The 11,736-nt window shown below is 41.5% G+C and overlaps 1 protein-coding gene across 3 annotated transcripts in view, besides 5 other annotated features; it reads right to left on the bottom strand.

Annotated features, from left to right (window-relative positions):
* Positions 491 to 620: a silencer, noted in NCBI's record as "silent region_1556". NCBI's record gives its function as "represses an Ori minimal core promoter by ATAC-STARR-seq in GM12878 lymphoblastoid cells {active_cell/tissue: GM12878}" and the evidence as "EXISTENCE:reporter gene assay evidence [ECO:0000049][PMID:35858748]".
* Positions 872 to 1,588: an enhancer, noted in NCBI's record as "H3K27ac hESC enhancer chr1:173830769-173831485 (GRCh37/hg19 assembly coordinates)". NCBI's record gives its function as "activates a minimal SCP1, AML or CMV promoter by ChIP-STARR-seq in primed H9 embryonic stem cells {active_cell/tissue: H9 hESC(primed)}" and the evidence as "EXISTENCE:reporter gene assay evidence [ECO:0000049][PMID:30033119]".
* Positions 1,589 to 2,305: an enhancer, noted in NCBI's record as "H3K27ac hESC enhancer chr1:173830052-173830768 (GRCh37/hg19 assembly coordinates)". NCBI's record gives its function as "activates a minimal SCP1, AML or CMV promoter by ChIP-STARR-seq in naive H9 embryonic stem cells {active_cell/tissue: H9 hESC(naive)}" and the evidence as "EXISTENCE:reporter gene assay evidence [ECO:0000049][PMID:30033119]".
* Positions 1,668 to 1,818: a silencer, noted in NCBI's record as "fragment chr1:173830539-173830689 (GRCh37/hg19 assembly coordinates)". NCBI's record gives its function as "represses an EF-1alpha promoter that drives an FKBP-Casp9 reporter gene in an ReSE screen in K562 erythroleukemia cells {active_cell/tissue: K562}" and the evidence as "EXISTENCE:reporter gene assay evidence [ECO:0000049][PMID:32094911]".
* Positions 4,673 to 11,736, bottom strand: part of DARS2 (aspartyl-tRNA synthetase 2, mitochondrial) — a 33,874-nt gene continuing 26,810 nt past the window's right edge. For 2 of the 3 annotated variants that reach the window (NM_018122.5, NM_001365212.1), the window contains 4 exons: positions 9,652 to 9,870; positions 9,314 to 9,424; positions 6,478 to 6,553; positions 4,673 to 5,701 (listed from right to left, as the gene is read on the bottom strand). In NM_018122.5, the coding sequence (NP_060592.2) occupies positions 5,514 to 5,701; positions 6,478 to 6,553; positions 9,314 to 9,424; positions 9,652 to 9,870 (594 nt within the window). In that variant the 3' untranslated portion in view covers positions 4,673 to 5,513. Of the gene's footprint in view, positions 5,702 to 6,477; positions 6,554 to 9,313; positions 9,425 to 9,651; positions 9,871 to 11,200; positions 11,384 to 11,736 lie in introns of those variants that run through there. The other variant, NM_001365213.2, reaches the window with a different exon arrangement.
* Positions 10,175 to 11,077: an enhancer, noted in NCBI's record as "OCT4-NANOG-H3K27ac hESC enhancer chr1:173821280-173822182 (GRCh37/hg19 assembly coordinates)". NCBI's record gives its function as "activates a minimal SCP1, AML or CMV promoter by ChIP-STARR-seq in naive H9 embryonic stem cells {active_cell/tissue: H9 hESC(naive)}" and the evidence as "EXISTENCE:reporter gene assay evidence [ECO:0000049][PMID:30033119]".

The following is an 11,736-nucleotide window of genomic DNA, read 5'->3' as shown; positions in this document are numbered from 1 at the left end:
GCAATGGCATGATCTCAACCGCTGCTCACTGCAACCTCTACCTCCCGGGTTCAAGCGATTCTCTTCAGCCTCTTGTAGCTAGGACTATAGGCACCTACCATCACAACCAACTCATTTTGGTATTTTTAGTAGAGACGAAACCCCATCCTCCCAAAGTGCTGGGATTTCACAGGCCTGAGCCGCAGTGCCCGGCCTCCCAGGCCTTTTATGCTTGATGTTTTTTTCAGGGCCCTTCCCATTGTCATTTCACAATCTCATTGAAATGTCAGCTTATGCACTAAATGCGTGTAAGTTGGGAATGCCCAATTTTGTCTAAGAAAAAAGGCCTCCCCCTCCCCCAAATAAGCACATTCTTTCATTTCCTGGGGCTCACCCGAATGTCTCACACAGGCTGTAAAACAACTACCACCACCTGGCTGGGTGCTGAGGTGGGCAGATTACCTGAGGTCAGGATTTCAAGACCAACCTGGCCAATATGGTGAAACCCCATCTCTACTAAAAATACAAAAATCTAGCCGGGTGTAGTGGTGGGCTATTGTAGTCCCAGCTATTCGGGAGGCTGAGGCAGGGGAACTGAACCTGGGAGGCTGAGGTTGCAGTGACCCGTGATCCTGCCACTGCACTCCAGCCTGGGTGCCAGGGTGAGACTTTCTCAAAGGAAAAAAGAAGGCTGGGCGTGGTGGTTCATGCCTGTAATCCCACCACTTTGGGAGGCCGAGGCGGGTGGATCACACGGTCAGGAGTTTGAGACCAGCCTGACCAACATAGTGAAACCCCCATCTCTACTAAAAATACAAAAGTTAGCCAGGTGTGGCGTGCACCTGTAATCCCAGCTACTCAGGAGGCTGAGGCAGGAGAATTGCTTGAACCTAGGAAGTGGAGGTTGCAGTGAACTGAGATCATGCCACCGCACTCCAGCCTGGGCAACGGCGAGACTTGGTCTCAAAAAAAAACACACACACAAAACTACCACCACCTACCCCAATCGGTTACCCTTTACTTTTCATGTGACCACCATGACCTATTATGTGTTTTGTTCTTACTTCCCCCACAAGAATGTAAGCGCTTCAAGTTTATTCCTTAATGTTGGAAAAATGAATGAAACTGCAAATGTAGTAGATCAGTTTTTGGGGAGGTACCAAAGACAAGTTGGTAAAATACCTTGATTTTGAAGTGAAAAACGATGTTACATTTCAAAGTATCTTTTCGCCAGGTTATGGCTCAGGCTTCGAGACCAGCCTGGCCAACATGGCAAAACCCGGTCTCTACTGAAAAAAAGCGAAAATTAGCCGGGTGTGGTAGTGTGGGCCTGTAGTCCCAGCTACTCTGAACCCTGGAGGTGGAGGTTGCAGTGAACCAAGATCGTGCCACCTCACTCCAGCCTGGGCCTCCTAGGCTCAAGTGATTGTTGTGCCTCAACTACCTGAGTAGCTGGGATGACAGGTGTGTGCCACCACTCCCAGCTAATTTTTTTTTCTGTATTTTTAGTAGAGATGGAGTTTCACCATGTCAGCCAGGCTAGTCTTGAACTCCTGGCCTCAAGTGATCCAACTGCCCTGCCCTCCCAAAGTGCTGGGATTACAGGTGTGAGCCACTGCATCCAGCCAAGTTCTATTCTTTTTTTTTTTTTTTTTGAGACGGAGTTTCGCTCGTGTTGCCCAGGCTGGAATGTAGCGGCGCAATCTTGGCTCACTGCAACCTCCACCTCCCAGGTTCAAGCGATTCTCCTGCCTCAGCCTTCCAAGTAGCTGGGATTACAGGCGTGGGCCACCATGCCTGGCTATTTTTGTATTTTTAGTAGAGAGGGGGTTTCACCACGTTGGCCAGGCTGGTCTCGAACTCCTGACCTCGTGATCTGCCCACCTAGCCTCCCAAAGTGCTGGGATTACAGGCGTGAGCCACCGCATCCAGCTTCTTGTTCTCTCTTTTATATATAAGTGCCATTTGCTGAATCAGAAAACTTTTTGACAAGCATATTAAAAGATTTCAGTTGTATGTAGTAGCTCATGCCTGTAATCCCAACACTTTGGGAAACCAAGGTGGGGGGATTGCTTGAGTCCAGGAGTTCAAGACCGGCCTGGGCAACATAGTGAGACCCTGTGTCTACAATTAAAAAAAAAAAGAAAAAAAAAGTGAGCCGGGCATGATGGTGCATGCCTGTAGTCCCAACCACTCATGAGACTGAGGTGGGACGATCGCTTGAGCCCAGGAGGTTGAGGATGCAGTGAGCTGTGTCACACCACTGGATTCCAGCCTGGGTGACAGGGTGAGATGTTGTCTCAAATAAAATATTAAAAATTGGATCACCTTATTCAGCATTCTGTTGTTTAGCAGTTTTGGAATTTTAGTTGTTAGTAAATCTTGACCTTGAGTACACGTTATTTTGATATTCTGTGTGACAAAATGGGAAGTATGCATGAAGCACATCTGCCATAAAGTATGGATGTCTAGATTTTTTTTTCCCTAGAAAAAGTAGTTACAATTGTTTGAGATACAAGCTGAACTAGCTGCTTGTTTTCACAGAACATTTTTAGTTTGAAAAAACCTGACAAATTGATTATTCATATTTTAGGGGTAATTTTGGCAGAGATTTGCTCAAAAAAGAACAAGTCAGCTTGGAAAAAACTGATGGCATTTGTTGCCAATGATAAAACTCAAGCTTCCAAATGAAACCTAAAATTTTGGAAGGCTTGTATACACTTCTGTGCCCTTATAGCTTCCTCAGACTTAGACTTTTGTAATGGGATTGGTGGTAATATTAATTAATGGTATTTTGTTTTAGATATTGTATATCAAAATGTGTCAACATTTGGAAGATTTGCATAACTCAGTGAACCAATATTTTCCAAATGATCAATCACTGGACTGGTGTTACAAATATCACACATAGGTAAAAGTTCTATTTAAATACAAGGTACACCAATGGACTTTAGAAAAGCTCATCAATACGATTTCAGAATCCACATTGCAACTAGCCTTTAAGGAACTCTACTACTTGTCATATTTTGGTGTGGTATCAAAGAGAGTATCCATAATTATCAGACAAAGCTATTAAAATACTCCTCCCTTTTCCAACTTTATATATGAGTGGGGTCAGATTTTCTTCACAGACTTCAACCAAAACAGCATATAACAACAGATAGGATACAGAAGCAGATATCAGAATCTAGTGTCTTCTATTAAGCCAGAAATAAAAAATATTTGCAGAAATATAAAACAATGTTACTCTTCTATTTTTTTTTTGAAAATAATTATTTTTAAAATAAAAACATGGCTGAGTGTGGTGGCTCACGCCTTTGTAATCCCAGAACTTTGGGAGGCTGAGGCAGGCGGATCACCTGAGGCCAGGAGCTTGAGACCAGCCTGGTCAACATGGCAAAACCTCGTCTCTACTAAAAATACAAAAATTAACCAGGTGTGGTGGAGGGCACCTGTGGTCCCAACTACTCAGGAGGCTGAGGCAGGAAAACTGCCTGAACCCGGGAGGTGGAGGATGAAGTGAGCCAAGATCGCACCATTGCACTCCAGCCTGGGCAACAGAGTGAGACTCTGTCTCAAAATAAAATAAAATAAAAACATGCTATTTGTGTTAACATGTAATGGGTTATTTTAAAATGAATTTAACATTTTAAACTAAATCATTAAATCAATTATTAATTAATTAAATAGGAGGCTGAGGCAGGAGAATCACTTGAACCCAGGAGGTGGAGGTTGCAGTGAGCCAAGATGGTGCCACTGCACTCTAACCTGGGCAAAAGAGCGAGACTCTGTCTCAAAAAAAAAAAAGGTATAAATCAAAAGAATTTCAAGGCAGAAGTGAAGACTGAGTAGAAGAAAACAATTTCAAAATCACTGATCAAGACCTTGTTCTCATTTTGTCTTTTTTTGAAATGGAGTCTTGTTCTGTTGCCAGGCTGGAGTGCAGTGGTGTAACCTCGGCTCACTGCAATCTCCACCTCCTGGGTTCAAGTGATTCTCCTGCCTCAGCCTCCTGAGTAGCTGGGACTACAGGTATGTGCCACCACACCCAGCTAATTTTTGTATTTTTAGTAGAGATGGGGTTTCACCATGTTGGCCAGGATGGTCTCAGTCTCTTGACCTTGTGATCTGTCTGCCTCAGCCTCCCAAAGTGCTGGGATTATAGGCGTGAGCCACTGTACCCGGCCTCATTTTATAATTATTAGTTTATTAAAACTTTTATGTGTATGATTAGAACTTAAAATCACAATGAGTTTTGGTGTTCACTTTTTCGCACATTTGAGGTTAATCTAAGGTTGATTAGAATTTTCAATTACTTATAATTGAGAGAAAATAGTGTTCAGTGATTAATAATATCTTTGTTGTCTTTTTTTTTTTGAGATGGAGTCTTGCTCTGTCACCCAGGCTGGAGTGTAATGGCACCATCTTGGCTCACTGCAACCTCCATCTCCCAGGTTCAAGCAAACCTCATGCCTCAGCCTCCCGAGTGGCTGCGATTACAGGCATGCGCCACCATGCCTGGCTAATTTTTGTGTTTTTAGTAGAGACGGTTTCACTATGTTGGCCAGGCTGGTGTTGAACTCCTGACCTCAAGTGATCCACCCACCTCAATCTCCCAAAGTGCTGGGATTACAGGTGTGAGCCACCACTCCCGGCCAATAATATCTTTAAAACTAAAAAAAAAAACAGAAAATTGATAAGTAAAATGACTTTTACTATTGATATCAGTTTTGTTTAATCTGAAACTATAAAATAGAGATATATCTACCTATTTATGGATGGATAATACCATCATCTCATATTTGTGGAATGCTTTATAGTTTTTCAAAGTACTTTTATTCACTTTATCTTCCATATATGTTATCTCCTCTGATTCCAGCAATAACAGCCCGGTGAGGTAGCCAGGGCAAGTATGTATTTTACACATTAGCAGGAAGGGAGGCTAAGCGAGGTTTATGTAACTTACTCAGGCTGAAACACTGAAGAAAAATTTGTGACTCTCATTTCAGTGATGTTTTCTGCATTATTAAAAAATATTATGCTACTCCTCACTATATTATGTTGATGGTTGAAATGTCATTATAAAGCTTAATTTATATGATTCTCTTGATGAGGATGATGAAGCAAATGCTCCATCAACTCACTAGTTTACAGGGGCAAGCATTTTCCTACATTTCACACATAATTTGATTACCTCTGTCCTAAGTGAATAATCTACTATCTGGGTATGAGAAACATGATTTGAAAACACTAAACCACTATATTATTTCAACAAAGAACCATCTTTCACACCTAAGTAAAAAGGAACTTCAAAAAAAGTCCTAACCAAAAAAAATCCAAATGATGCATGAAATCAAGTCAAAATTGGGTATCTTTTATCTGTTTCTTCGTTGTGGTGAAGAATGTTGCCTGGATTCCTTCCATCTAAAGACTTGATTGTTAGACCTGTGGCAGAACTCTAGATCTGACTTTAGCCTTGGGGAAGCAAAGAGGACAAAACCTAAAAGCTCAACTTTCTGCATGGTATGCATGATTCAATGAGCTCTTTCTGCTTTGGAGTCTGTTGGCTTGGAGACTCGGATATGATAGGGCTTCAGTTCCTCAGGAGGGACAGAATCTGGGGTATTGCTCATGAGGTCATGTCCCCGGAAGGACTTTGGGAAGGCTATGACATCTCTGATGCTTGGAGATCCAGTGACAAGGCATATCAGTCTGTCTAACCCTGTGAGTAAAATACAAAGATAACAGATGAGAAATGTAATCTAATGTTGGAAATAACTTAGTTTTTCTATAAAAGTTGTAGAAAACTTTTAAATAAGAATCTTTAACAAACTGTAGCCAACCATCGTTCCCTACCTTTTTAGAGAACTTTTGTTTGTTTGAGAGGTTCTTTTCTATCTCATTCTGGAAAAGTATTCAGGACTAATGTTCACATGCTACTTGGATTGTCACAGCGATTAGTGTTCCTAGTAAAGGCTTACTAAAGGCCCTAAAACAGATTCAACAGTGTATTTGGTGCTTGGCAGGGAACTCCATAAACACAGAAGGAAGTCCCTGTTGTTGGGGCCTACAATCTAGGTGAGCTTCCTAGAATTTCTTACTCTTCCTTGCTTTGACAAAACAAGCAAAGTGAGTAACCATGGCAATCAGAAGGACACTGGCATCTTCCTGTTTTCATACAAGCTGAACATTATGGAGCAGTGCTTTCCAGACTCCAATGAGTGCGTATGTGAGGCCATGGGGATTTGAACAATATTGACTTAAGATCTGCAGTTTTAAGCTATTAATGATCTTTCAAATGCAAATTATCAGTTAAGTTATATCTTTATAACTGTTAAGATATATTTAAAAAATATATTACTGAAATTTCAACAGAAACTTACATTCTCATGGAACTCTTGGACTCATCCTTCCACCTCTACCAACACAAACTGAGAACCTGAATTTGAGACAGTGCAATGGAATTCAGTTTATCTTATAAAAGGAAAAGTTGTTTACCTAAGGCAATTCCTCCATGAGGGGGTGCCCCATAATCTAAAGCCTGGAGCAGATGGGAGAGCATTTTCACATCCTCCTGAAATTCAAAAGATAATTCAGTTTAAATATATTTTGAAGGTCCACTAAGTGCCACCATCTAGGCTTAGATGATAAAGGGGAAACAAAGTTGAGTTTTAAAACAGCTAAAACTGACTTAACCAATAATAAAAGTTTATTGGAAAAGTGTAAAGAAAAAATTACCTTAAGTGATTTGCAGGTTAGTAAGGGAAAAAGACAAGTCATAGATGATTATAACATGTACAAAAATGCCTGGTGTTCAGTAAATGCAGCTTTTACTGTATTCACAATGCAAACAGAGTGAGACCAAATGAGGAGGTGGGGATAAAAAGCAGGAAACTCTCCTGTCACAGAGACCAAGGGAAGAGAGCATTACTAAGTGGGCAACATTGTCAAATGCTGCCGGGAGGAAGGAGAACTTAAGGGCCAAGAACAGGCCACTGGATTTAGTGATCTTGTGAGTAACTTTTGTGGGGCAGTACATGTAGAAATGTTGAAAGTGTGTTTGGAAATGGTTCTCCAACCAGGCTACAAATCAGGATCAAGTGGGAAGCTTCAAACAAACAGAGGCCAAAGCCTTATGCTTAGAACTCTTTTATTCAGTTGGTCTGATGTGTAGCCAAGGCACCAGTGTTTTTTTTAATGCTTTCCAGGTGATTTGATTGTAAGGTGCAGCAGGGCTGAGAACCACTATTTAGGGAAGCAACAGAAGTAATGTATTCTAGGCCAGGTGTGGTGGCTCACACCTGTAATCCCAGCACTTTGGGAGGCCGATGCAGGCAGATCACCTGAGATTGGGGGTTCAAGACTAGCCTGGCCAACATGGCAAAATGCTGTATCTACTAAAAATACAAAAAAAAAAAAAAATGCTGGGCGTGATGGTGTGTGCCTGTGGTCCCAGCCACTCGGGAGGCTAAGGCAGGAGAATCACTTCAACCTGGGAGGCGGAGGTTGCAGTGAACCAAGATCACGCCACTGCACTCCAGTCTGGGTGACAAAGCGAGAAAAAGAAAAAAGTAATGTATTCTTAGTGACTCTTGAAAAGTTTGACAATGAGAGGAATGAAAAAGGCTGAAAACTGCTGACTGGAAGCTGGGCTGGGCAGGAGGATCGCTTGATCCCAGGAGTTTGAGGCTGCCCTAAGTTATGATCATGCCATTGCACTCTAGCCTGGGTGACAGAGTGAGACTCCATCTTTTTAAAATCAAACAAACAAACAAACACACAAAACCCAATGGGTGATTGGAGGCTTTGAATTGGCAGGAGAAAAGTTAACAGATTTCGGCTGGGTGCGGTGGCTCACGCCTGTAATCCCAGGACTTTGGGAGGCCAAGGCGGGTGGATCTCTTGAGGTCAGGAGTTCGAGACCAGCCCGGCCAACATGGTGAAACTCTGTCTCTACTAAAAATACAAAATAGCCGGGTGTGTTAGTGCGCACGTGTAATCCCAGCTACTCAGGAGGCTGAGGCAGAAGAATTGCTTGAACCCAGGCGGCGGAGGTTGCAGTGAGCCAAGATTGAGCCACTGCACTCCAGCCTGGGCGACAGAGCAAGACTCTGTCTCAAAAAAAAAAAAAAAAGTTAACAGATTTCACAATGCCCTTAAACTTTAAGGACTCTGAAGGCTTAAAGCTAAAGGAGTCATCTCATGGTCTGAGTTCTCCTTCCATCCTACCTCACACTTGTCAGTTAATCCCACAAAACGATCTTTTAGGACCAGACTCTCTCAGACCTTTTCCTTTCTGAAACCTACCCAAGCCTTCTACAGCATCACCAACAAACTTCAAATTCTTAGGTCTGCACCTGTACAGACTCTTCTTTTACTTTTAAAAAATCCTGATTACTCCACTATCACTAAAATATATCCCTGCCTTAAATATAGCTAAAGTAGTATCTAATAAGTGATATAAAATCTTTTCAAACTTCTCTCTCTTTCTCTAACATTATCAACATTTTTAGTCACTTCAGACTGCATGGTTTTCATTTGATTTGATTTTTATTTTTTCAAGCTGCATGGTTTTTTTAAGCAGGGTAGTGGTTAGGAGCATGGGCTTAAGAGCCACCTCACCTGGATTCAAATCCTGACTCTGCTTACTTTTGTACTGTCACTTTGGCAAGTTAAGTAAGTTGCCTCAGTAAATCTCATCTTTAGAGTGGGCAGAATAAGGATATTTATCTGCACTATTATAATAAGGGTATTTAATATGCACTATTAATTAGTATTTAAATAGTACTGTTTAATAGTGCTATGTGCCAGATACTATTTAAGCATTTAATATTATTATTTACTTTTAATATTATTATTTACTTTTCCAAGTCCTACATTAAAGGTAGAGAGATAGCTGATGCTATTTTGTATCTTGTGAATCCTCCAATCATAACAAATGTTTAATAAAATAGGCTGATTTAAGTCAGATGCAGTGGTTCATGCCTATAATCCCAGCACTTTGGGAGGCCGAGGCAGGAGGAGTGCTTGAGGGCAGGAGTTTGAGAGCAGTGTGAGCAACATAGGGAAATCTTATCTCTTCAAAAAAATAAAAAAATTTGCCGGGCATGGTGGCATGTGCCTGTAGTCACAGCTACTTGGGAGGCTGAGGTGGGAGGATGGCTTAAGCACAGGAGACTGAGATTGCAGTGAGCTATGAATGCACCAGTAGACACCTGCCTGGGTGACAGAATGTCTCAAAAACAAAACAAACAAGCAAACAACAACAACAACACAAAACTGAAAAATATTCTGGTAAAAAAATAAGCCCAGGATAGCAGATGATGTTTGTTACCTTTAGTAAGGTTGCCAGGATATAACGCTGCAGCTCTGCATTGTGAATTCGAATTGAACCACCTCCTATTTCATTGCCATTTAAAACCAAGTCATAGTGTTGGCTACGGGCCTAGAAGATTCACAGATACTTTATGTTAGAGAAAATGTCTGGTTTTCTGTTCTACGGGTTGAAGACCCTGTAGATTTTTAAAGACAATGTATTACTACTAACTCAAACTCCACAATTTCTTCTGGGGCTTCCAGAACTGGGTCCTATCTTTCATCAGACCTTGAAGTCTGAAGTTCTTTGCCTTTATATACACATTTCCTTTTGATTTGGAAGTATAGATACGGTACCTTTTTGGGCTCAGTGTACAGGAGATGTATGTCACTGGGGTGGGGAGCAGTAAATGGGTGGTGGGCCGATTCCAGCTCTCTGGGATTTTCCTCCTTGGGCAGGAAGAGTGGGAAATCTACCACCCAAAGGAAAGAGAACAGAGTGGGGTCACGGAGCACCACTCCTCTTGTTTCTAGAAGGTCAGCACATTCCAGTCGTAATTTTCCTAACAAAGAGCACTGCAAACAGAAGACGTAAACATTGAGTTAACTTCTTGACAGAGCAGGCAGGAAATGACACAGCCTGGATTCCGAAGCCAGGCCATTCTCTAGGAAAGGATTAGCCAATTAACAGATAGGATGCCCTTTGCTTCTCAGGACACAAAGATCTGAGGATAAGTCTAATTGCAACAAGGTTGAGAACAATCATCACACTCAACCAACTGGGTGAGTACTGATAACTCGGTGATTAAGAACACAGGGATCAGCACTTCATAGACCTGGGTCTGAATCTCAGTGTGGCTAATTACGAACTTCTCTGTACCCTTTTTCATTGTAAAATTGGGATAAAAATATCAACTCCAAAAGACTGCTGTGAAGCTTAAGATAATATACATAAGGTGCAGGACCTGACAAAGTATGTGAGTGGTAGTCGTTCTGATTATTTCCTCACTTCTCTTGAAGGGTTGTGGTGAGGATTTGGTAAGTGCCTGGCACACTGTTAATGTTCAGTGAAGGCTGGCTATCACTATAGGTAATGCAGATTAGAGGTCCATTTAAGAGTGCGGAGGGGTGCAGTGGCTCACACCTGTAATCCCAGCACTTTGGGAGGCCGAGGCGGGCGGATCACAAGGTCAGGGGTTCTAGATCAGCCTGACCAACATGGTGAAACCCCGTCACTACTAAAAATACAAAAATTAGCCGGGCGTGGTGGCATGCACTTGTAATCCTAGCTACTCGGGAGGCTGAGGCAGGAAAATCGCTTGAACCCGGGAGGAGGCAGAGGTTGCAGTGAGCTGAGATCACACCACTGTACTCCAGCCTGGGCAACAGAGTGAGACCATCTCAAAAAAAAATAAAAAATAAAAAAAAATAAGAGTGTGAATTTTGGAACCCAACTTCATGGGTTAGAAATCCGGCTCCTCCACTTCCTAGCTGTGTGACTGTGAGCAAAATTTTAAGCTCTGTGACTCACTTTTCTTATTTTTAAAATAGCAACAGTATCAGAACTTCTTTCATAGGGTTGGCATGAGGATTAAATGAGTTAATGTATACAAAGTGCTTAGAACGGGCTTGGCAAATACTAAGTGCTTAATAAGTGCTACCTATGGTATGCAGGACTTCCCTGAGAAAGGACAGCTGGTTAGAACAGTGACATATGCCTAGAGACATGATAGGGTATTATTTTGCAGCCCATTCTATCTTACATTTACGTCTACATAACGGACCTTCATTGTGACATTTTCAGAATGTTAATGTTATTCCTCGAAAGTCTGGTTTCTAGCTCTCTTTCAAGGAAGGCCTTGTAGGAATCAGACCTATAACTTCCTGAGAATGAAACACCAGCATGTTTAGTTCATACCAAGAGAAGGTTTAATAGCCAAATTAGTTAGGAACAAAATCCCATGTTCTTTTTTAAGAAATGCATTCATAATAAAATTTGGAAATAAATAGCTTTCTTCATTTTACTATTGTAGGGGAAGGGGAGACGGGGGATTACATTTAGCTTTGAAGCTGAACTCTGAAACTTTTTCTGTGGAAGAAACAATGACAAATGAAAATATAGATTAGAAGAAAGAACTTGATGAAGTACTAGTTAGACACACTATCATTTTGAAAAAACTATATACTAAAGTGAAAAAATAAATTTATATCATGCTTGATCTTTACAGTACATTTTTAATATTCATATTTGACTTTGTACTATACTTTTCTATATTTTACAAAGATCCCTAAAGCTAATTCAGTCTTCCATATCCCCTGAAGAATCATGACTCAGCCAGTGCATGATGGCACTCATCACCTACAGCTGCTGTTCTTGAGGAAAAAGGGTCCCACTTTGACCAAGTTGGTCCAGGGGTGTCTGCCAGCCCTCCAGCTCGCCAG

This window comes from Homo sapiens, chromosome 1, assembly GCF_000001405.40.
Source record: "Homo sapiens chromosome 1, GRCh38.p14 Primary Assembly".
Classification (NCBI taxonomy): domain Eukaryota; kingdom Metazoa; phylum Chordata; class Mammalia; order Primates; family Hominidae; genus Homo; species Homo sapiens.
The sequence above is the reverse complement of the archived record's forward strand: the minus strand, read 5'-3'. Positions and strand labels throughout refer to the sequence as shown.